This window comes from Homo sapiens, chromosome 16, assembly GCF_000001405.40.
Source record: "Homo sapiens chromosome 16, GRCh38.p14 Primary Assembly".
In the NCBI taxonomy this organism is placed as follows: Eukaryota; Metazoa; Chordata; class Mammalia; order Primates; family Hominidae; genus Homo; species Homo sapiens.
In genome coordinates this window covers 79803317-79829048 of record NC_000016.10, presented here as the reverse complement: position 1 = coordinate 79829048, position 25732 = coordinate 79803317, and the positions used below count along the sequence as shown (strand labels likewise).

At 40.8% G+C, this 25732-nt stretch overlaps 1 long non-coding RNA gene across 1 annotated transcript in view; it reads left to right on the top strand.

Annotated features, from left to right (window-relative positions):
• Window positions 1-1898: 1898 nt before the first annotated feature.
• The window catches only part of LINC01228 (long intergenic non-protein coding RNA 1228), a 29316-nt gene continuing 5482 nt past the window's right edge, over window positions 1899-25732 (top strand). Inside the window, exon 1 of the long non-coding RNA NR_170199.1 lies at window positions 1899-2061. This is a non-coding gene — a long non-coding RNA (long intergenic non-protein coding RNA 1228). The remainder of the gene's footprint in view (window positions 2062-25732) is intronic.

Here is a 25732-nt window from a genome sequence, read left to right as displayed (position 1 = left end):
GTTGTTTTTTTTCTTTCTTTCTTTTAACTTATCAGATCTTATTTCCAGTTAAATCGCAGCAGGGTTTATGTTTACTAGCTTTCCTGGACTGTACTGCGTGCGATGTCTCCATTTAAATGTAGATTTTGACTTTACACTGGAGAGGTAGGTGAGAGCCTTTCCGCTGCAGAATTAACATCAAGGTGAAAATATAAGCTCAAAATAGATGCTATGTTTCCATAAGTAAAGCTGTGTAAGTCCAGTTTGAGTATTCTGAGCCATTTATTCGCAAGTTCCCTTGTACCCCATAGGGGAAAACATTGTACAAATCAGATCTATGTATTTATTGAGGCCATAACACAAAACTTTAGGTTAAGGAAATCAAATGCTGAAGGGTAGCCCAGAAACTGTTACAGACACTGATCCAGTTGCAGTGGGGGGCTCTACCCATGACCTTTGGAATTAATGATAAATAGGACTAAGAAGGTGTATTTAATAACTGTTCACATCTCTTTTCCTTCTTCAGGAGCCATTTGCACTATGAAGAGATGGAATACAAAATATATACTCTAAATAAAGCTTAACCAAGTGCAGAACATAAAGCATTTTGAATCATAGCCCCACCCACACACATTTTTTTAGATTAACTGCAGTAGATATCTATGAAATTCATTTTAAAGACAAAAAAGAAATAATATTTTACCCTCTGTCTTTTGCCCCATTTTATTGATAGGCCATTAAAGAGGGCAGCGAGAGAAGTTAAGTATCCATATTTATATCTAGATAACTTATACTGTGTTTCTTCTCAGCTATTCATGGACCAACCCTACTCCCAAATGACATGGATGTGGAGCTTTTAGCACCATCGAAATAACTCAATGAAAAAAGTACATAACTTTGTTGTGAGCTCTTCCAAAAACCTGCACCATTGAGCCTGTAAGTAAGTTGTCCTTATAGAAGCGTATCTTTTGATTGGGTTTATCAAAAACGTAGTGCCATGCTTCTCTTAATGACCCAAGTAGAACCCTAATCATTCCTTCGGGAAATGTTTCCTAGCCTAAATTATAATGTATATTAGTCCACTACCATGGTACAAACTATGTGGTCTAAAAACACTGTGTGTCCTCTGGACTCCAGTTTGCCCATTTGTAAGCTGAGAATAATAATAGTACTTATACCATGAGCTATTTGAAGAATAATGTCATTAAATGCAGGAAAAGGGTTGAGAACAGTGTCCGGTACAGATAAACACTCAATAAATATTGGAAATCCACTTACAAATACGCATGGATATGTGTAGATACAGAATTCTTTCTTGAAGACTTCAGGAGCCAGAGAGAAAGGAGTGGCTCTAACTAAAGTCAAGTATCATTTACTCTCCTGGAAATCTCGATTACAGGGGTGGAAAAGAACTTCCACAAACTGTAGGCTAGTGATAACTAAATGGTAGGAAAGTAAGGTCAAAAGCAGCAGACCCTGGCAGAAACAGGGGGGCAAGAAGTCAAAAAGATTTTAAAGAGGGCCCCCAGGTGCCTGACTTAGCTCACAGGCTCCGGGATCTTCGGATAAATTCAGGGCTAAGAAAATGAAGATGCCCTTACCACTTTGACAGCCTGACCAAGAATGCCATCCTTTGCACCTCATCTGGTCTAAATACTCAGTTTACAAATGCATGTTGCTCAGCATCATGTGTTATAGATGCTTTATGTTTATTCAAGAACTCAGTTTCCAGACATGCGGTTTACCGCAATAGACAGCTGTTGATACTCTGATCCCATGAGCATTATAATATGTTTTAAAATTGCGACACTTTTAAAACCAGATGTTCTACATAAATTGTACGCAGGGGGAGAAAAGAGAAAAAAAAGAAAGGGGAGAAGGAAAAGAGGACAGGCAGATCTGTCAGTTGGCAAAACACCGGAGCTCCTCAGGCTCACAGAAAATTCACAGCAAAACTAAAGTGAACCCCATAAAGCTTGTTCTGGGTTTTCTTCTGCAGAAAAGATTAAAGGAAAATTGTTTTAGCAGAAAGAAAGCTCCATCCTCAGGAAAGGCAAGCAAGGGAGCTGCAGCTAAGGGAAGGTAAGCCCCTGGCTCTGCTGTGGTTCTGAGGTTCTTGTCTCCAGCTGTTTTCCAGGATACGTGGGGTATGCACTGAGGACTTCACTGGTTCCTAATCTCTTCTGAGGTCCTACGGGTATTGCTCAATTTTACAGCCTCCACTTCTCTCCCAAGAGTTCCTTTTGGTTGGAACAGAGGCTTGTAGGGTGCAACATTGTAGGTATATGTTGTGAGGTCATGTGGTTAAGAGGAGGGCCTCTTCCTTAGACTACCTGGGCTCAAATCCTGACTCCACCACTTAGTGAGCTCCCATGGCTATATTACTTCATGTAAGTCTCGGTTGTCTCCCTCTGTAAAATGGGACCATGATGTCACCTCCCTAATAAGGAAGCAGAAGCATTTAGCATAGTGCTTGATGAACTGTAAACATCATATATTCTAGATACTTTATATGTAAGACCTTTTTACCAATTCAAACTACTTAAGACTGAGTTGCTTTGAGAGGAATTTGGCATCTTTACTTCTCCCCTGGAATAATTGTATAATTTTGGGTGTCCTCAAGTCAGTCCTGGAAATCACGAGTCCACCCAATTGGAAATGACCAGTTTGGAGAGAAGCGGAGTGGTAGCATGCAGTCACGGAAAGGCGGCACCATCAGACAGATCTGGGTCCTCACCCAGGATCTGCACTTTGCAAGCTGTGTGGCCTTTTCCAACAGCCTCAGCTGGCCAGGCCCTGACTTTCCACCTGAATTCTTAGGAATACATTTCAATCTCAGAGAAGGTGTGAAATTAAGAGGAGCCAATTCAGGTTAAGTATCTCGCATACAGTAGACACTCAATCACTTTTATTTCTCTTATTCCATCATCTACATGGCTCCTGAAAATACTTTTTTGTATATTTATCAAATAGCTTCTGCCCAAGTACAGAATTTATCAAATTATATTTCTATTTGCTCATATACCTCCTCTGCAAAAATAAATAAATAAAATAAAGAAATGCAAACAAAAATAATAACAAAGCAACAGCATCCGAACAAAATAAAACAAAAGTTTTAATAGATATACACTGACCCCTGCTTACCTCTCCAGTCCAATCTCATGATTCCACCCCATCCCGACCTCCTACCCAGCCACCCTGAAACCAGCCACCTCCTTCAAAACATCTCCATCTCCGTCACCCTTGGCCTTTGCATTTCCTGTCAGATTTTGGCCTCATACCCTTTTCACTGTTCATATCTCAGCTTAGACTTCAGTTCTAGAAAGCTTTCTCCAATATTTGCCTCATTTCTTTGTGTTCCCTTGATACTTAATTCTTACCCTCATCCCAGCTAAGAGTTCACTGTATTATCTTTTCCCGTTTAATTGTCTCTGTTATTGTACTATAAAACATTTGAACGAGGGGGTGGTGTCCTGTTCACCATGTTACCTTAGCATCCAGCACAATTCTGTTCCTAGAGAATTGAATAAATACTTGGTGAAGGTATAAATACATAAGCGCATGGATTGAAGTTTGGATGGATGGGTGGGTGGGTTAGTGGGTAAATTAATGACAAGGGAGGGGATGAATGGATAGATGGATAACTGGATAGATGAGTGGATAGATGGATGGATGAATGGATTGATGGATGAATGGGTGGGTGGATAGATGAATGGATGAGCAGATGGATGAATGGATGGACAGATGGGTAGATGGATGGATGAATGGATGGATTGATGGATGGTTGGATGAATGGGAGGATAGACGGATGGATGAGCAGATGGATGAATGGATGCACAGATGGGTAAATGGATGGATGAATGGATGCATTGATGGATGGATGAGAGGATGAATGAATGGATAGATAGATGGGTAGATGTATGGATGAATGGATGGGTCAATAGATGAGTAGATGGATGAATGCATGCATGGATGGATGGATGGGTGGATGGATGGATAAATGAGTGAGTGGATGGATGAGTGGAAGGATAGATGGGTGGGTGGATGGATGAATGGATGGATAGATAGATGACTAGATGAATGCATGGATGGTAGATGGATGGATAGTAGGTGAATGAATGGATGGGTGCATGCATGTATGGGTAGATCGATGAATGGATGGGTAGATGGGTATGTGGATGCATGAATTAATCACTTAGGACTGGAAAAGTGGGCATCTGACGTCAGCTACATTTTCTGTAGTTTAGTTGTAATGTCTGCCAGCTGAATGTGGCCAGGAAATCAACAGTGATAGTGAATTGACTATGTGATCAAATCTTTTCTTTGTGGTAACGACTTTCTCTTTCTGGTAAGTTCTGAAGTCCTCCGTGTGGCCTACTTCGCTGTCACAGGTCAGCTCTGCTTACTTCTCCAGCCTCATTTCTCATACACCGTTATCTCTGCTCCTCTTCATCTGCGAGGTCTCCCTGACTACCATCTCTTAGCCATATCCTTCTTCCACTTTTGCCCGCCTGACTCCTACTCATCCGTTTGGGCTGAGCTTCAGTGTAGCTCCTTTAAGTGAGTTTTTCTTGACCTGTAACCACCTTCTCCCTAAGTCTCCAAACTGGATTAAGCCTCTCTGTTATTTGTGCTTACACCTGCTTCTCATGTTCAACATAGCAGTTACCACAATTCTAATTATGTGGGAATTGGTGTGATTATTGGTTTAACGTCTGCCTCCTCAACTGCAGTGTGAACTCGAAGGACCAAGTTGATAGTATTCACTGCTGTAACACCAGGGCATTTCTGGGGTCTGGCAGAGTATGTACTTAAGAAAAAACTCTTATTGAAATTAATATTTCAGGGGTTGGGGCCTATGAATCCCATAATATTATTTCTAAAATGCAAAATTGGTAGTAAATGGCATGAATTAATATAAACGTACTAGATGTTTATAGCACATGTCCCCCTGGTCAGTCAAATGTGATTGATTAGTCACAGGGATGGCTAATACATGAAATATGAAATCTCAGATTTCATATTAGTTTTTCAAAGAAGTCCACAATAGATCTCCACCTTGGAAAAATGAAGTGAACATCCACCACTCTGGCATCTGAGAAAAGCCCATATTATGAAAGATTCTTGAAAACTATCAGGGCCCCTGTCCACAGTCCCAGACAATGTTGAGGTTTGTGTTTTCCATCTGTGCCAGATTCCCCTTGACAAAAGCGTCCTTCACAGCTGTATGTTACACACGAAGAATATTCTGGGTCACTTGAAGTCATCAATGATTCATGCCTGTGGAATCAATCTGTCACCAAGAAAGACATACATGGAATAGAGCAATGTGCATAACAGATTCCCTCCTTCAGGGAAGAAACTCTCCAAAAAGTTTGGGGGAGAAACAGACCTTAGTGGTCCACAGGACAGATGTGAACATCAGCCTCAGCCATCACCAGGGTGTCAGGAGGAGGGAGAGGAGAGGGAGAAGAAAGCAGCTAGCTCCTTTTAGAATGAGAGTATGCAACCCCAGGGTGACTAGATACCAGGTCACACACGTCACATAAAAGAGTCAATGACAGTAAGGCAGCAGGTGTTGTTTACTATGTGCCAGACACTGTGCTCAGGGCTTGCCAGGCATTCTTTATCCACTATTTACTTAAATTCTTACAATCACCCAGTGAAGGCTGGTACTGTTATTATCCCCCTTTGTGTAGGATCAAACAGAGCCTTCCTTCTTTTAATAATGGGGAAATGGAAGCAGGATGAGATTAAAGGTCTTGCCAAAGGCTACATAGTTACTAAGTAAGTAGCAAGACATAATTTGAATCCATTTCTGTGCAATACTAAAGCCTATGATCTTTCTTCTGTCTGCTATTATGTCTTGACCCATGCCAAAGTTTCTGAAACTCACAGAAAAAGGAAAGCTTTCTGGCAACTCAGCAAAGGCAATTATGAACAAACCCAGACTGTACTTCGTAAATGTGTATGTCTGGCTGGAGTGGACCGTGAGTGTTGGGGAGGAAAGTCAAGCAGGTTAGAAAAGGCTGACTTGGTCAAGGAGCATCTCAATACTTACAGATGGGTTCTAGCTTCCATCCTCTTTGCAACAGGGAGCCCGTGACCCATTCTGAGTGGCACTATGGTTTGTTAAGAATTCTTTTTTGGATTGAATTGTTACAAGAGGATAGAGGCAGTGAAGCCAGCCAGAAGGCTGTGCAATGACTTATTTGAGTAGCCCCAGACTCATCTGGTTATCCTTTCACAGAGAAACCCCTGTAATTGCCCAAGACTTTGGCATCAACTCCTCACCAAGACATTCAAGGCCATCTACCTCTTTAGCATTTTCTAATGGCTGTCCCGCCACTTGACACTTTAGACCACTGATCTTCTAGGTGTTCCGATTGGCTACACCTCTGCCCAACTCAAGAGCTTCATACATGCTGCTTCCTTTCCTCTAAAATACTCTGAAGGTTCTTTAGAGGACCAACTCTTATCTGTCTTATGAATCCTTCCAGCTGCAACATCAGGTGCGCTTCCTCTTTGGGCATCTTTCTGACCCTTCCCTTCTGGATGGCCCTCTTCTATGTATACCTACAATACCTTGACTTTTGCTTTCACCTCATTTATCGTCACTGTATTAGTTAATGAAATAAGTGTGCAGTTACCTCATTAACCTCCCTCCACCCCATCATTCTCCCTCTCTCTGTATTTCTTGAAGCTTTATGATGTCAAGGATGATGTCTCTCTTTTTCATTTTCATGTCATCTCTCCTTAGCACAATATTTGTTCAAAGAATGGATGAATGTGGTGAGGATTCAGAATGCTCAAGCTGAAATGGTGGAGTGGGAAGAAGTGGGTTTTGATTGGGATGAAGTGGGTTTTCATCAAGATGAGTGAAAAAGGAAGGGTATTGAGCCTGGGCTCAGAGCACAGCCTTTTGTTCCACAGCCAGCTATGGCCAGCTGCCAATCTCAGCAGCAGGAAGTAGACACTCAGTGATTAGCAATTAATTCACCTATTAAACTAGCCAACTATATGAAAGGCAGAAAGAAACACCCATAGCATGTGGCTAGCAGAAGACACCTCCAATCACCACTGCAGCCATGTCTACGTGCTTTTCGGTCTCTTGTCTATCTTGACTGACGTAGCAAGCCATGTCAATAGCTCCATCTTTTTGAGGTAGGAACAGGAATATATATGTTAATAATAATATGAAACAGCCAAATTGTCTCTTCCCAAATATCCAAATGAAGAGACACTTTCAAATCCAATAAAGGAGAACAACATTTCTTGAGTTGTTGCATGATAAAAAAAAAAAATCTCTCTGTTACCTTTGTATTTGAATGATAAAATGACTGGCTGTAAATTTTAGGTGTAACATTTTCTTTCCCTGAGGGTATTTTACACATTGTCCCACTGTCTTCTAGTATTGAATTATCACTGACATAAAGTCTGAAACCAGTCTAATTCTTGTCTCCTTATAGGTGACTTAACTGGCTTGTCATGAGATTCTCACTTTTTCTTTGCAACTTGAGAACTATGCCAAGATGTCTTAGTATTGGTTAATTTCTACCAATTTTTCCTGGAGCACATTATGCTCTCTCTTAAATTATATCTTTGAATTTTTTTCTATTTCACTTATGTTGTTGAATCCTTGCCTTAGACATACAATTGTGTTATATTTAATCTTTTTTGTCTTCCAGAGTCATTAATTAATTTCTAATCTCTTTTAATTATTTCAAACCGTAAATTCATAAGTATTATATTTTAGGAAAACATTCTTGATATATGTCATTAAATATGTCTTTTCTTCTAAATTTTTCTTATTTCTTTAGTGTAGTTTATAAATATCAGCTCTACATATTCTTAACATACATCAGTTACGTCAAATATGCTTGTATTACTTTATTCCATTGCTATCATTTTATCTTGAATCCCTTTTAATTTTTGCCTTTTACTATTATTTTTATCTTATTTATTTATTTATTTTGAGACAGACTCTTATTCTGTTGCTCAGGCTGGAGTGCAGTGGTGAGATATAGGCCTGGCTAATTTTTTCTATAATATATTTAGTAGAGAAGGGGTTTCACCATGTTGGCAAGGCTGGTCTCGAACTCCTTGCCTCAAGTGATCTGCTCGCCTCAGCCTCCCAACGTGCTGGGATTGCAGGCGTAAACCACCATGCCCAGCCTATTATTAAATTTTAATCACTTGTCTCAAGTCAGTCTTTCTGTTCTTAATAATTTGTCAGCAATTCTTCCTTTAGTGGCTTACAAATCGGTTTCCAAAGGTATTGACTTCTATAAAGGCCTTTTATTTTTCTCAGCCTTCCTGAGTTTGGCCATCCCATTTCTCATCCGTTTCTACTATTTTATCATTTATGTCTCAAGCCCTTATAGGTCTGTTTTGAGGTCATTCTCTGCTTAATCTCTTGGAAGAGTTGACTAGTGTGTATAGTTACTAATGCCTGGTTCCCTTGAGACAACCTTCTCACTGGATCACACTGCTTGAGAACGTCCTACCACAAGATGCAGGTGTCTTGATTTCCCACTCAGGGAATGGGGAGTTGGCAGGATTTGGATAGAAATACTATGCTCAATGACACAATCAGGACTGTCATTAGCCGAGATATGTACTAGAGCCTTCCTGAATGGGTACACCTAGACCAGCAGCATCAACACCACCTGAGAGTTGTTAGAAATGCAGATTCCCAGGTTCCACCCCGCCAGTCCCACAATATCCAAGTCTGCATTTTAACAAGATCGCCAGGTGATTTAGGTGCACATTAAGGTCTGTGAAGCCCTGTCATAGGACACTACCACAGCAAAGATATTGCTTTAGAGATTATTCACTCCTTTCCTAATGTCCTTAAAAAATGGTTTTTACCTACACTCTGTGAAGAATGTCTTAGAAAGACTGCTCTCAGCTGAGAGAGAAGGCTCGTGACTGTATTTGAAGTTCCAGAGTTTGTTGGTATTTTTCAAAGTGTGAAAAGTTGTCAGCTGAGATTTACTGCCTATTTGAAGGGGAGAATGGCTGCCTGAGTGAACATGCTGATCAATAATTCAAATTAAGAAATCCCATTTTTAACACTCACACCACACCAAACTGATGGCTGGGCCCATGTTGTAATTATTACAAACTTCAGCTATTAGAGATTCCACTCTGATTCCTGTAGCCAAGAAAAGAGAAAGATGAGAAAAGCCACTCTGCTTCTCTTAAGACATTGTGCTACTTTAAGACATGACCAATGGTTGGTATTATCCCTGCAGAAATCTTTCACTGTGGGCTGTATCATATTTTTAAAAAGTATGTACTGGGTCTTCTTTAGTGAAGATGGAGGCACTGGGTTGAGAGTAGAATATGAAGCTCACAAACACAAGAGACTGCTTCCTGAAGATCCAAATATATCTAACATCCTAAATGTGGTTTTGAGGTGCTCAAATCTCTTGGGCTGTGATTTGTTTTCTGAAAGGACAGTTCAAGAGAACATGGTTTTGCAGGGCACCATGAGAAATGTGAGTTACACAAAAGAAAGCGCTTCCTCACAGCATAAGACAGAAATCAATGAGAGGTTTGTCTATGAGTGCCTCAGCTTCAGGAATGTCTTTACACACCTAATGGATGGCCAGGTGCATCAGAAGGATATTCTCACTGGAGGCTGAAGGATACAGTTGACGACCTTCAGAGGTATTTACCAATTTTTCTGAATTGTAGCTATGTGACAAAGCCAAAATATTTTCTAAATTTTTTGAGAAAACATAAACCTGTGGTTCAATGCTTGTAACACAAAATTCAGAATGTTGATTCCACTGACTTCAGTACCCTTTTCAGAGGAAGTGGAGAAATTGTCCATGAAAGTAGAGTGTCCTTTTGGTATCTTAGAGTTCACTGCTTCCCAACCTTCAATCCAATTTCTCTTTCTTGATTCACACTAGATCCTCATACTAGATTAGGGTCCAAGTAGTGCCCATATTCTTAAAAGTGAGATGATGTAAAAGTGGGAACATTATATAATTGAGGACCTAGTATGTTTCAATCCAATTACAATGAAATTAGACCATCCTCTAGGATGGTCCTCTGATCAATTAAAAATAAATGGGATTGAAGGTTGGGAAGCATACTAGAGCCTCAATTATACAATGTTCCCATTTTTATATCACCTCACTTTTAAAAATGTGGGCACTGCTTGGATGAAAACCTTTAATTCTCTTAAGGGACTTGGAGGCAGATACTGTTATTATCCTGTTTTATGGATAAGATAAATGAGGCTCAGAGAAACTAAGTCACTTCCTCAAGATAACTTGCCTCAACTTCTAAATGTCAGAACTTGAACCCAAGCAATTTAACTCCAGATTCAGAGCTTTCAGTCACTACATGAAGCTGCCCCTCAGCTAACAGTATTGAGTGCCAGGTGCTGTACTATGTTTTTACATTGATAAGAATAGAATATACAGGTGCTGAGAAGGTCTGGAGTGGAGCTGGAGGAAAAGTCTTGAGAGTAGCCCTTGAAGAAAGTTAGGAGCCCAGATAGGCATAAAAGGTAGAAAGCACCATTATCCAATATCCTGTCATAGTAGTAGTTAGACGTATTTAGATACTACACATATGCTGGCCGTATTCATGTTCTGTATATCATGAGGAATGCTTTCGTCTGCAAGTAACAGAACACTTGATTCCAGAGGTACACACACATGAAGATTTAGTGTTTCCTTGTTGCATGAAGTCCAGTGGTAGGTAGTATCAAGCATTAGTCTAATATAATGGTTCTCAACCAGGGATAACCACCTCATCCCTATGGGACATTTGGCAATGCCTGCATGCATTTTTGGTTATCACAACTGGGGGATACATGTTTTGGTTGTTGCTAAATGCTACTGGCATCTAGTGGGTAAATTTCAAGGATGCTGCTAAACATTCCACAAGGAACAGGACAGCTCTCCAGAACAAGAATCATCGGCCCAAATCTCAATAGTGCTGAGGCTGACAAATCTGGATCCAGTAGTAAATATCATTAAGGCCCATCCCTCTGCATTTCTCTTGGCCTTTGCCTCATGGCCTCAGATGGGCTGCTGAATCACATCCTTATTCCAGACCAGAAGATAGCGGATGGGAGAAAAGGTACCTATCATGTCTTTGTCTTTTCCATTTTTCAGAAAAAAAACTGCCATCTCAGAACCCTGAGAAGACTCCACTTCTAAATGATGGCCAAAACTGTGCCCCGTACCCCCCCCCCCATAGAGAATTTGGGATGGACAATGTCCTGCATAGGATCTTGCTGTCCCAAACAAACTCAAGGTCTCTTAGCAAGGAAGAAGACTCCTGAGCATCCCACAGTTAGTGTGTGCCATATCAGGCCAATGTGTTAACTGCTATTCTTCATGAATGCAGATGATTCTTTTTCCAATCAGCCCTGGAGAAGCCATACAAAGTGCAGTGACCACACCCACTTTAATGGTGTTAAAGCAGGCTCCTAAGTCTGCCAGCACCTCTTTACCCACATCCCCCCAAAGAAAATGTTTTTAAAGTGTCTTTTCCCATTGATAAATCATCTGAGCAGAGACAGATTGAATTATTTATCTGGACTCTGAAAATCAGGATGGTTTATTCTCAATGCGGCTGCAGTCCAATTTTAGAAAATGTATTTGTGGAGCAATAAATAACAATATTACTCCCAGCCTCCTTTTATTGCTGTTTAAGTCATTCATTCAACAAATATGTAATGGGCTCTGATCATTAGCACTAGGCTTGAGTACATATCATAGATATGGTAAAACTTCTAGAGTATAAGCTTTTTGAAAGCAGGGATTGTATTATCCTAATATCCATCATAATATCCCCAGAGCCTAGCACACCAAATGGCTTATGGTCAGATTGAAATATATTTATTAAATGAACGCATGCATGCAGCATTATCTTCAAGAGGATTATATTCTAGTTAAGTTGGTGGTGGTTACAGAAAGTGTATATTATAATAATGTACTTCGTTTTTTTTTTGTTGTTTTTAAGACAGACTCTTGCTCTGTCACCAGGCTGGAGTGCAGTGGTGTGATCTCGGCTCACTGCAACCTCTGCCTCCTGGGTTCAAGCGATTCTCCTGCCTCAGTCTCCCAAGTAGCTGAGACTACAGGTGTGTACCACCACACCCAGCTAATTTATGTGTTTTTAGTAGAGATGGGGTTTCACCATGTTGGCCAGGATGGTCTCCATCTCCTGACCTCATGATCCGCCCACCTTGGCCTCCCAAAGCGTTGGGTTTACCGGCGTGAGTCACCACACCCGGCCATATTGCATTAATATTTTAAGAACATATGGATAATTTCATTTAAAAAGATAAACAATTCATTATAAGATTTTCACATTTCCTCCAAGTTCTACCAACTTGTGAGCCTATGATTTCGGTTCAATATTTCTGACTTGAACGAATATCAAGATATGCTTTCTTTTGGAGGTTTCACCACATACCAGAGACAGAGGAGAAAAGAAATGGTCGATATTCAGACTGCCCTCAGAGTATTTTACAGAGGCTACCTCTCTGGGTAAATCAGAGGAGCTTCTTGCTGCCAGCAAATGTGCTTCCATTTCTTCTACTTCCTGCCCTCCCACGTCACCCTTTTCAGCCTCCACATTCTGGCGTGGCATTATCCAGGAAGCTGTAACCTTCTTACTGACAGCTGAAGGTGGGACACAGCCTGGATTTCTCACACAAAGCTTCCCCCTGGGGATGCTTTTATGACGTCCTTTGTTGGGGCAGCTTCTGTGGAGGAGGGAACCATAATTCTCTCCAGATTAAGAAGCAACATGCAGGTGTGAGGAAGGCTCCATTGCCAGGGATGAATTCACCAAGTGAATGACTCATGACTCAGATCCAGCCTGGTCACTTCACAAAGTTCTTTGTGGACCATGTGGCCTAGAGAAGAACTGCTGTCACTCCCCACCCCTGTATATGCTTCTGTCAGCACACTGATGAGACTGTGGCGCTGGGGTTTATCAGGTCCATCTCTTGCTGTTATTTGTGAGCTCTTTTGTTCATGTGTTCATCCCACCCATATTTATTGAGCACCTACAACGCGTTTGCTGTGCACTACATGGAATGAGACAAACACAGGAGTCCCTGTCCTGATGAGTGTTATATGCAGGAAGGGAAGGCAGTGAATGAAATACTAGATTGTACTAAAGGGCAATTGGAAACACAGGTGCACACTTGGATGATATTGTTCTCTGGCGACACTTAACAATAGGTCTGGCTTATGGACCAACTCAGGGTAGGCTCCACGAGAAACGTGTGAGCCAAGGACAGCGAAATCATGACAAAGGCTGTCTTATTATCTGTCTTGTGTCTCTAGAGCCTAGTAGGATACCTGGAACAAAAAAAAACATGTGTGTTAACAGGACTAAATAAATGACTCTCCCACCGAGGTGTCTTCTGGATCCTGCTCCAGAAGGTGGAGCTGAGACCTTCACCGTTCCCTCTTCTGTATCTAGAGGCCTCCTCACCCACCTTGTCTTGCACAGCATTCCCCACCCTCTGCAGCGATGATACTTTGCAATCACAAAGTGAATCATGTCACCCCTGCACAAATCTCCCTGTGCTTCCCCATGGCAGGTAGGGAAAGCCACCTCTTTTGAGCTCTCTCTTTCCATAACATAGGTCTTCTTCTGGATTCCTGAATTCGTCACACATTCTTTCTATTGCAACTTTGAACATGCTGTTCTCTTTGCCCTATGCCCTTTCCATTTTTCTTCACCCAGCGAACACCCTTGCATTCTTTCAGAGCCCAAACATAGAAATCCTTTTGGTTATGCTTTACCCAACTCATCTCATCATAGGTAGGCTCCCTGAGGATTGCATCATGACTGTTCATGAACCTTGCATTTCCACTAGTCTGTGGGAGCCTTCTTCAAGAATGCAGGCATTATTTTAAGAACCTTTGTTTCCCCAGCACTCTGTTTAAAAGGCCAGAGGGACTCAATGAATATTTCTAAAATAAATTGGGCATTTTTCACTGCCTTCCAGAAATATTCACTATAAGACACAAAATAGTAAGCTTTTTGTTTTCTAAAAGTGGTAGTTACCATTACAAGCAAATTTTATTGTTATTTATGAAATGTAGAAAATGCTTTTTAGGAGCAGCATTTGGCTTTTGTTTATACTTTATATGCTGTACTTCAAAATGAATATTCAGCGTGGCAGTGCCCATGCCAAGGCTTCTTGCCTAGAGAAGATCTTCCAGGTGTCTTTGAGGATCACCAAGGCAAACAAACACATTTCAAGAGCACCTTATAGACAGTTACCCTTCGTCTCCCAAGAAAGTTCTTGCCAAAGGCTTTATTCTCCAACATTCTGCTTGAAAACTGAAGTAGGAGCAATTGGATTGCCCTTCTGAGTGACTTTCTCAAGAAGATAAGTCCATAGAAGTAAGCAAGCCCCAACCTCACTACTGAACTAGTTTGAGACAGCCCTAGAGAAAAGATCCCCAGAGAATGCATCAATTAATTTGGATATTTTCTTTATTGGTTATCAAGAAATGATATGCTATGTATATGTACTGTACTGTGTATCACTGTGATCATTTTGCAAGGCCAATTTATCATTGCCATTTGCACCTTCAGTGGAAGGATGCTGTCGCTGCTGAGCCCAAAGTTCTAATGAACTTAAACTTTACAATAGCTACAGGAAATTAAGCAATGTGATTTCAGAATACGCTATCCCATTCATCAAGTTAATGCCAGGGTTCCATGGACAGGATGTTCAGGGATTGATACATCTTTTGAAGCATGTAGTGACTCAACAAAAATAACTTTGATAATTTATATAGTTGACCATGTATGACACATATTTGCCTGAAGTTTCCAGCAAGGTAGCAAAGAAGTTGTTTTTGTTTCTGATTTTAAACCCACTCCACTTCATCAGAGAGTTATTTGCAAACAGAACTGTTGCCTGTTTCAAGTGGCAATTCACAATGTTTTCAAAATGTTTTCCAATGAAATTGGAAGAAAGAATTATTATTTGATGCTGAGATCACTTTTTTTCCTTAGGTTTAGACAAGAGCCGTAAGAAAACTTAAGAAGATTGGTGAATTGGGATTAGGAGAATGAGAGACTTTCTCTCACTAGTATTGTTGTGTCGTAGTCATTTTTAATGCCCCAGATCTCAGGACCATCATCCATAAAATGAAAAGATCAGATTGAAAGGTCTTAGAGTCTCACTTCCACTCTATCTGATTATATTTCAAATGAGGGTAGTGACAAGATAAAAAGTTACAAGTTGAATAACATAACTTCCATCCACACCATGCTTTCATCCCTTGTGAGAAAGGGTGGATAAAAGTCGAGCCTAGTTAACTCAACCTAGGACTCTCTCACCACTATAAGAGAGTGAGAAATGTCTATCCAGATCTTTTGTCCATTTTTTCTGATTGGATAATTACATTTTTTTTCTATAGAGTTGTTTGAGCTCCTTATATATTCTGGTTATTAATTCCTTGACAGATGAGCAGTTTACAATTTTTTTTTCCTATTCTGTGTGCTATCTCTTAATTTTGTTGGTTGTTTGCTTTGAGGGGATGGATACCCCATTCTCCATGATGTGATTGTTTCACATTGCATGCCTGTATCAAAACATCTCATGTACCCCGTAAATATATATACCTACTATGTACCTATACACATTTTAAAAAATTAAAACAAAAAGAGCTTGTAAAAAATGAGGGAGAGGTGCAGAAGATGAATAGGGAAAAGAGCTATCTGTAGTTTGAAAGCACTAGGCTGGGGCTAGAAGGCTTGAATTTGAGTTTTGATGTCCCCTTAACTCTTTTTATCAGCTTTGGTTGCTTCGTCCATCAAAAAGGCATCTATCACCTCCATCCTCCTTGTCTTGGGATGGGGGAGGTTCTATGAGCATTAAATGATGTAACAGACCCGAGAGAGCTAAACCAAAAATGATAATCAATTGTACACATGTTAAGCATTATCACATTTATTAAGCTACAAGCTCCACTGACTGTTTATGCCAGAGTTTACCATGGTGGGTTTTTTTTGGTAGATATTTGCTGAATGAAATAATAAACATATTTATTCCAAAATCCGATCACTATTGGGTGAAGAAGACTATTGGTTGTGATTGGGGGATGAGTTCTCCTGAGGATGGTAAGAAGAAAAAAACTGGACGTAAGAGTCAACCCACATGCAGCGGTGGCAGCCCTGGTGATTTGGGGAGTATAGTCCTTCAATCCCCCAGAACGGTGATTCTTCCCAAGCTACCCCCAATAAACATGCTAGCTATGTAAAACCAGTGTGCCTGTTATGCAAGCACTGCTTCTTGGCTTTTCTAGTGCTTCTACAATAGTTGCTGTATGAGCCCTGAGTTGCTCCTGCAAAATTCTGAAGCTGCCAGTCCCCAAAGGGTAGTAGTCCCTTTCCTATTACTCAGTGATGGATCAAGGAGCCTGCCATGAAATCTTCCTGGTATTCTTTCAAGAAAGTAGAGATGGGGGTATATAGTGGAGGCCCCCTAGGATCTGAACTGAAGAAGCTCTGTGATAAGAGACGGAAGGGTGAGGAACTCCTCATTTACCTATAAGGTTCAAGTCACAACTCTAGGGGCATTCCCTTGACTTAAACAGTACTTCCACCTTACGCTGGGTGGCCTGTAGCATTCTTTCTGTGGCTATCGTCCTAGATAGAGGGGAGGAATTATTTTGAGTGTAAGGAAGGAGGTGGCATCACTCAGACACCACCAGACCAGAAGTCCTATTTCATAAAAGGCTTGGGCGTTCCCTGTGGGAGCTCCCTCTGGACTGTGATCCTGTGTGAGGAGAGACCCCACTTCCTCATCATGGTAAAGACCCAAGAGCAAAGCCAAAGAAGAGGAAATGACTGTGGGTCATATTCAGGGTGGAGTACAAACAAACAAGCTGCCCTTACCCAAAATGCTACACATTCCAAAGACAAACATTCTGTTGTACCTTTTTAGAACCTTAGTTTAAAACTGCACATGTTTTGCTGTTGAAGGACTAATTACTTGGTGACCAGAAGGCATTTCTGTGCCTATTTCTTTAAGACTTGATCCAATCCAGGATAAGAAATGAAATAATATTTATCACCATCATGTTCACATGAGAATACCTACTTTGAGTGCTTGGTGCAAGTCAGGCCATTATAGCTACTTTACTGGCATTGTCAATGAGCCTTGCAACAATCCTGAAAAGTAGATATCATTATCATTTTACAGATGAGAAAACTGAGGCTCATTTTGAAACACGGTTTCTCAGCCTTAGCATGACTAATATTCTGGGCTGGTTAACTCTTCGTGTTGGAGGCTGTGTTCATTGTAGGATGTTTAGCAGCATTCCTGGCCTCCATCCAAGACTCTGGGAATGAGTTTCTACTTTTGCTGTTGATGTAAACACCAACCATTTTGTATAAAAATTACACTTTAATAAAGCTGTTAAACAAAAAAGCAAACAAACAAACAAAAAAGTCACTAACCAGGTAGCACTGTTGATCTTTGACAAAGAGGGTTGAATCTAAATTGTGTTGAAAAAATGTAGCAATCAGCATTAGATAATTAACCCAGTGACCGGTTTTTTGGTAAATTTTGAGCCAAATTTCGCCTTATTATGTTAGCCTCTTGCTGAGATTCATATACTAAAACCCTTAAAGAGGATCTCAAATACCAGAGTGATCATTTTCATCAAATTCCAAGAATTTGTCCAGTCTGATTCCGCTGGTGATAATGTTAACAATATATCTTTTAAGAGTTCCAGGCATGAATTATTTGCAACAGAAGTTTGATGGCAATAGCACACATTATACATTAGTTCTTAAAGCTGAATAATGGAAGGCTTGTGCAGTATGGGTCGATAGAATTTGGATTTCTTCAAATCATTTTCACTTTGCTCTCCCACTAAGCAGGCAGTCCTTCTGTGAGGTCAGTCCACTGCTGTGACAGCAGGTTAGTGCCCTCACCTTCTGCAATGCAAAAGAAACAGTGATACACCCTTATTTCAAGACCATGCCTTCTGTGTCCCAGGCACCACCCCCAGAGCTCTAGAGAACGGTTAGTAATTAATTGATGAGAGTTGGTTTTCCAGACACGTTAGAACATGTGCTCCTATTGCTGCTTGGGTAGGAAGAGTTGAAGTGGAAAAGAGGATGTCAGATAACACTCTCTTTGCCTAAAGAAAAGGAAAGGAAAAATATATCAGGGTAATAAGGCTGAGAGGGTGATAGTCACTTCTGGAGTTCCCCTAAATGATCGTGACTTTCCCGCCCTTTACTTTTTACATATTTTCCCCCGTTCTCTGTCCACCTCTGCATCATCTTACTCTCCATCTACAGTAATAGACTTTTCCCTTGGGCTTCCAACAGGTTTTTTTCACTGCTAAATGCCTAGCACCTGGAATAGTACCCAATATATAGTAAGTGCTGAGTAAATACTTTGGAATGACCGGAATGTATGTATCTTGGATAGGATGAAAGGTCTGTAAGTTGATACAACATGTCTCCACTTCTGCATGAGAAGAATGATGGCATCCACTTCCCCAAAGAAGGATTGGAGTGGTTCAATTGGATATTGCTGTCTCCTCTGGACCAGGCCCTATACCAGGCTTCCCATATGCCACTGGCTTGTCCATAGCTTGGGCACCTTGGGATGAGGGGCTCTGCCCTTGTGTAATTATCTGTGTTCTAATGGGTGAGATGCAGGCCATCAAATGGCACCTTCTGCTTAAGGACCAACCTTGGGGCATTGTTATATGGACATGACAAGCATTCAGATATTCTGGACACTTGTTTAGAACTCCAACAAATTTGTATAAATCATCTATTTTGTGCTCAGCACTGTGCTAGTTGCTACATATGTCATGAGAATAGAAAGAGTGATTTAAAAATGTTTCCTAGCCCGGGTGCAGCGGCTCACGCCTGTAATCCCAGCACTTTGGGAGGCCAAGGCGGGCGGATCATGAGGTCAAGAGATCAAGACCATCCTGGCCAACATGGTGAAACCCTGTCTCTATTAAAAATACAAAAATTAGCTGGGTGTGGTGGCACGCAATTGTAGTCCCAGCTACTCAGGAGGCTGAGGCAGGAGAATCGCTTGAACCCAGGACGCAGAGTTTGCAGTGAGCCAAAGTCACGCCACTGCACTCCAGCCTGGGAGACAGAGAAAGAGTCCTTAAAAAAAATAATATATAAATAACAAAAAATGTCTCCTAGGCAAGAAGGGAGGATTAGAAAGGAACACAAGGAAACTTCTGGGAGTGACAGATATGTTCATGGTCTTAATTTTGGTCATGGTTCCATGGGTGTATTCAAAGGTCCACACTTATAAAAATTGTACCCTTTAAATGTATTCAGTTTATTGTACCTCAGTTACATATTAATACAGCTGTTAAAAAATGAAGTAAAAAAGATGCCTTCCAAAATGGTGAGACCATTGTTTGTCGGGATGAATGCTTTCATACCTCTCCCATTCCATAGTGTTTGTTTGAATGTTGGATGAGAACAACCTTGGTCTGAATTATAACTGCTGGGAAGAATGGGCCAAGTCAAACAGATGCTCTTTAATAAGGAACAATGTGAAACTTCTTTTATTTGTGACTGAAAAGCTAATGACACAAGTATGGGATTGGAGAAAAATGTCTAAATACAGAAAAATACATAGAAGAGATGGAGAATGTTTAATTGACAGTAAATTCAACAGTGCACTCTGATTGCCAGAAAAGAAAAAACAGTCAGATTTTAGGATGCATAATCTAGAAGAAGGAAGGAGATCATTTTGTTCTCTTGGGTTCTGTATTCAGCTGGAAGATTGTTTGTTTCTGGTGGATCATGAATTAACAGGGACATTTGGGTAGGATTTTTAGAGGAGACGAACCAGGATGGTAAAAATAAAAAGATTTAAGATAATGTAGCATGAGGAACAGTGGAAGGAGCTAAGAATATCTAAACCAGAGAGTGCCTTCAAGGACCTGCCAACTCCTGGGGGAAGAATACTTGGCAGGTGCCAGGCACCCTGTGAACCATACATCACATGGCTTAAATCATTAACCCTGCAAAACAAGCCTGTGAGGGAAAGTGGGCTCAGTGTAGTCATCAAATATTTCTGGCTCTTCACCTTCTGGGTCATGTTAGGATTGCAGTTTAAAATCAGGCATAGTTGAGTAACTTTCGTTGGCCAGGAAATGTCAGTGCACAATTTCTGGGTGGAGTGCCTATCAATACAGAGTCACCATCAGTGAGCTGGCCGAGTGAAGGTAACAGAGGTCAGGGCCTCACCCTAGCCAAACTAATGTAAGACTTTTCTTCTTGGTCACTTTGCAAGCCAGGGATCCCCTGACAGTAATGCTCGACCTGGTCCTCACTCAGCCAAAGCTGGCATGCCCCCACTTGCCTGTATTATAACTTGTACCCACCTTCAGTGGTTCCTGTGCTCTTGTACCATGCCCAAGAAGAATGAGGATATGCTGGACATTGAAGGGTGAGGAAGGCAGAGAAGAATTTTATTGAACAATGAAAACAGCTTTTGGTGGAGAGGGGACATGTTGGTGGTGGCCCCCCTACCTGAAGATGGGAAAGTTCCTCTGTGTGGCTAGATCCAGAGCCTTTCATGGACTCAGAATGGGGGGTGCATGCTGATCGGTTTGTGAATATGTAGAAAAGGTTAAAGCAAAGACCACTCAAAGTTGGGCATGACAGTATAGAAAACCAATTAGAAAAGGTTAGGTGTATATGAAATAGGTGAATGGCAGGGACCAATGAGAGAAAAGCACACTAAACAGGAAGACAAGTTCTCAATCCAGTCGGAGGATTTAATGTGGAGCTTGGCTTTCAGGCTCTAAACTGTCTTCGGCTTGGAGATGGAGTTTCACGGGGAACCTGCCCCTACCTGCCTAGGCATTTGGCTGCCTCCTGTCGCTATCAAAACTACAAAGACGAGGTGTTATTTAAACTGGTCATTTAGAGCTACTAAGAGTTACGATTGTCTGTTACTGCAGCAGAGCAAAGCTCACCATGATTGACAACTGATGGTAACTTATATCTTCATATTTTGAGCGAGTAAGTAACTTGCCTAAAACCTGACATTTGTTATCCCGCATTTGTTAACCCTGGGTGGGATCGATTGCTTGGCGGGTGACACTATAATGACCACAACCAAGTAGGATTTAACAAGGGTATTCTATTACTTGCAAAAAGTGAAGAGGACACTGCGAATAGTTCCCAAAGCGGCACCTCCCCCAGCAAAGGTGAAAACAGGGCTTTTATTCAGCAGGTTAAATGAGTCATTGTATGTAGAGGTAGGGTGAAGGCAGCACGCATGCTGTCGTAGATCATGTTTCCACACACATTGCATGAATAGAACATGGTGAATAAGCTCCTCTCTGAGCAGGGTTTTTAGTGTGGCAGTGAGGAGCGTTGGCCAAAATTCATCTCCACTTCTGGATTCAACCAGTTTTTGTTTTTTCCAAGGCTAAGCTTCTTCTTGGAACTTTCTAAAACAACAACAACTCAGGGAGTAACAGTTACAAGTAGATACTTTTACACAGCGCGTTCCCAAAAACCCAGAGACCCTGGGTTACACTTTCAGTCTGTGATGAGTATTCCCATGAATCAAGCTACAAACTGCATGCACTTCATCAAAGGCTTCATTTAATCAGTAGTCCTGAGGGCAGAAGAAGGAGCAAAACCAGAAGTTAGAAGAGGTCCAGTTTTTGGTTCAATGTTAAGAAATCACTTTTTAACAACTGCAGTTATCTGAAATGGAAAAGGTTGCTTGGAAGGTTTGTATCTTTCCATCTCTGGATGTGCTGAAGGAGAAGCTTTCTAGCTTCTTTTCTGGGACGTGGTGGTGAAAATCGAAGCATTGATAAGGTGTTTTTGCTGAAAGTCTTGTTAGTTTCCTTCCAGCCCTGATGTCCTAGGAGACTGTACCTCTTAAGTGGGAGAGATTCCCAGAGGGCATTTCATAAACAGGTGCTGACTGCAATAAAACATTCTCAACTAGAGTGGAGAGAAGGGCAGTTCTTTGCAGGGTCTAAGTAACTGGTATATTGAATCAATGCTGATTTCCTATGCACCCTACATAAGTTCAGCAGAACCCAGCTGAGTCCTCAAATATTAATTGCCGGGAATGACTTGTCTGCTCTAAGGAGTGATGCATAGCTTGGGGTCCATCTTTATTGAGTAATATCACCCACAAGCAAAATACATTTATTTCTTTTTTTTTCCCTGACCCCCCCCCCCCACCCCGCCCCCGCCACACACACACTGCCCCTCCTCATGCCAGGTTAATAAACACCAGCGTTTTGTTGTGAGAGGCAATTCTCTCTGCATTTTAGATTCCGTCTTCTTTTGGTGGGATACTAAGACCCATGCTCCCCCAGACTAAAACTCTCAGCTACATAAATCATAGAGCAAGGGGATTTTTATGCAAAATAAAGCACTTTCCATGCTTTTTCCCTTGCAATGATTACATGATTTTCCCCTGAAACCGAACAATGTATGTTTCATAAATAGATCTCTCTCTCTGTAAGAAAACCTTGGAAATAGATTATTTGTTTGGTTTGCATTTTGTTTCCCAGTGTTGCAGCAACCAGAAGCCGGTTCTCATAGACACACCACAAAGAGGAGGAATGAGAAGGGCTGGAAGTCATCAAAGAGCCTGTCCTTTACTTAGGGACTTGCTGTCTCTGAATGGCATATTGCTTATTATAACTTGGATCGTGAGACAGTCAGAGAGTGTTGAAAGGGTCCATTTCTAATCCTGGGGTGGGGGATAGTTCCCAAATTATTGGTGAGAAAAAAAGGAAGAAATGTATATTTTAACATCTGAAATTTCATAGCATTTCTAAGCAGATGTTTATTTTTAATAACCTCATGTCATTTTTGAGAAAAACTAAGAAAGTTTAACATTTGAGAGGTATTACCAATCTCTGCAGAAGGTACCAAACTATAGGAAGTCTGTGGCATTCTTCACATAGTAGCACGTGTTAAATACACAGACTGTTGAACAAAAAAGACAATGCGGATCCCTTTGAAAGAAATGATACATTTAATATCAGGGTTGCAGGTGGTGTTCGATTGCAAAATACTTCTAAAAGGTATTTATCCTCCATTTCAGAGAACACCTGTGGTGCAGAAGTCCCCTCCCACTGTCAGAGATGGAGATGTAGATTACATCTCCTGGCTCTCTGACTTAGCATGGCCAATGGCCATGTGAGAACCAGGGCTCCATGCCCAACTTCTCTAAAGAGACTAAGTCATTTGATTCCCAGGACAAAGGAACTCCAACAGAGTGGACACAGCCCAGCAGGGAAATCCTGACATCACACAAAACAGAGACAACCTCATTCTTCTGGAATGTGAGGGGTTTAAAGGATAGCAGAGTTGAAAGTTTTTAAGTATCACTGAGAATATGGTAAATAATCTGATCGCCTGCAGTATGTGAAACATTTGATGTGAATTACAGGTGGGTTCATTTCAAAAGATCCTCTATGTCTCAGGAAGGTAATATAGCCTCGTGGCTTCAGATCCTGGAGCTCTGAATGTCAGACCTCTTGAACTCAAATTGCACTTCTCCTACATGGTACCTACACGATAACTTTGCAACAAAATGCTTCTTTGAACCTCATTTAACTCATCTGTAAAATGGAATAAGAATGGATGATTGTCAGAATGTACACAATTCTTACCTGATAGTATACACATTATGGTCATACCGTCAGCACTCTCATCAGTGCAAAAATAGATTTCCTAAATATTTTGACTGGCCATCCTTTGCTATGGCAGTGACACTAAGTTGAGAACCCATACACATTCAAAATTACAAAAATTCTAGACATGGGAATAAAAAGCATCCAGGGTTTAAAGCCTGAGTTCTCGAGTTCTCTACATGCAAGTGCATTAGCATGTGTTTTGACACGGATGTTAATTTTAATGCCTGTGATTGAGAGAAAGGGCAAAAAGCAGGGCAACTAATGTACATGGCAAGTCCAATCCCTGTTACACAGCATGGTTAGCATGGTTTTGCCTTTCCATCAACTCATGGCCAAGTCCCTGTGCTTGACAAGCCTTTGAGAATGCAGGGAGGGATTCCAGGACCAAGACATGCTGTCTGGTTGTTCTTGATAAAGGGTCTCTTGGAATGGGGCGTAACTCTAGTATCTGCTATCCGAACCCTCCTCATTCCTTGCGCCATACTTCAGCTACCTCTGGCCATAGCATTCAGGCTACTTTCCCTTCACTTCCTGGACTACACGTTTTAGGAGCAGCTGAAGGGTCTAGGTATCTTTCTCATCCCCAGTGTACAGAACACCAGCAATGTATGTGTGTGAGTGTCAATCGTTAGGTGCGTAATGAATGAATGAATAATGAAACATTGCCTTTCCCTATTGTTGAACACAGCAAGCCATATTACATGTATTGATTTAATTACGTCTTTTTAGGCAGCACGTATATGCTGGTTTTACTTGGTGTCATATCCTCAGGCTGAACACAGTGCCTGGCCCATGGTGGATGCTTAATAAAGGTTGTGTTGTGAATGAATGAAGGAGTGAATAAATGAGTAAACCATGGACTGGCTCAATAAATATTTAATGTTCTAGGCTAAATAAAACATTTGCCATCTGATGACTTGGGTAACTTGGGGTATATGCATCAGCTTATTAAGTATATGGCAAAGAATCAGTCATTAAGCTTGTCTTGTTATAAAATAGGATTTGAGGGCTGCAATAAATGCAGAATTATGCATGCATGAAATAAAACTTTGGTTGTAGGCTTTCTGTAGCAATTCCATTCATCTGAGTTCCATCCTGACTTGAGGGTCTTTTTTTCAAAGCCTGTTTTGATTGTTTGTTTGTTTGTTTGTTTTGTTTTTTCCATTCCCCATCTCAGAGGCAGACCTGTAAATGCCAGTATATGTTTTTCGTAAACGCTTTCTCACAAAAAGATAAAAATAAAGCATGATCGGGTGTGTGATTATTTTCATAGACACAATTCAGGCTTTATTTTATAAAGCAGAGAATGTACAAGGGGCTTATCAAACACAAATGTCAGGACATCCCTAAGTGTTGGCAAGGATGTGAGAAGAACTGTCATACATTACTGCTAAGAATATAAAATGGTAAAACTACCTTAGAAATCTGTTTGTAGTTTCTATTAAAATGAACCTTACAACTGCACTATAACCCAGCAATTCTATTCATAGGAATATATACCCATATATTTGCATATGTCCAAAAATACATATATAAGAATGTTTATAAATGACTTACTTATCTTAGCCAAAACATAAATAGATGCGGTGTTTCCAGAAAATGGAATACCATATAGCAATTAAAAAGAACAAACTACTGGTACAACAGTACTGTCCATGTATAACTTAGTCTGGAAGAATCCCACACATATTTTGTTCAGTTAAAGAAAGCAGACAAAAACTGTATGTGTGTATGTGTGTGTGTGTATGTGTGTGTGTGTATAAATGTACACATATATACTTATATATGTATATATATGTGTACATACATAAGTATATATATATACACTCTTTGTTATATGTATATATGTATATATATATACACACATATATAAAACATTCAAAGACAGGCAAAACAAATCAATGATGATGGACATTTAAATAGTGGTAGAGGGAAGAGTACAGTGGTGGAGGGAGGCACATGGTAGCCCTCTAGAGAGTGGAAATGTTTTCTATCTTGCTCTCAGGGATGTGTACATGGGTAACCTGTCTCATTAAGTTGTATACTTAAGA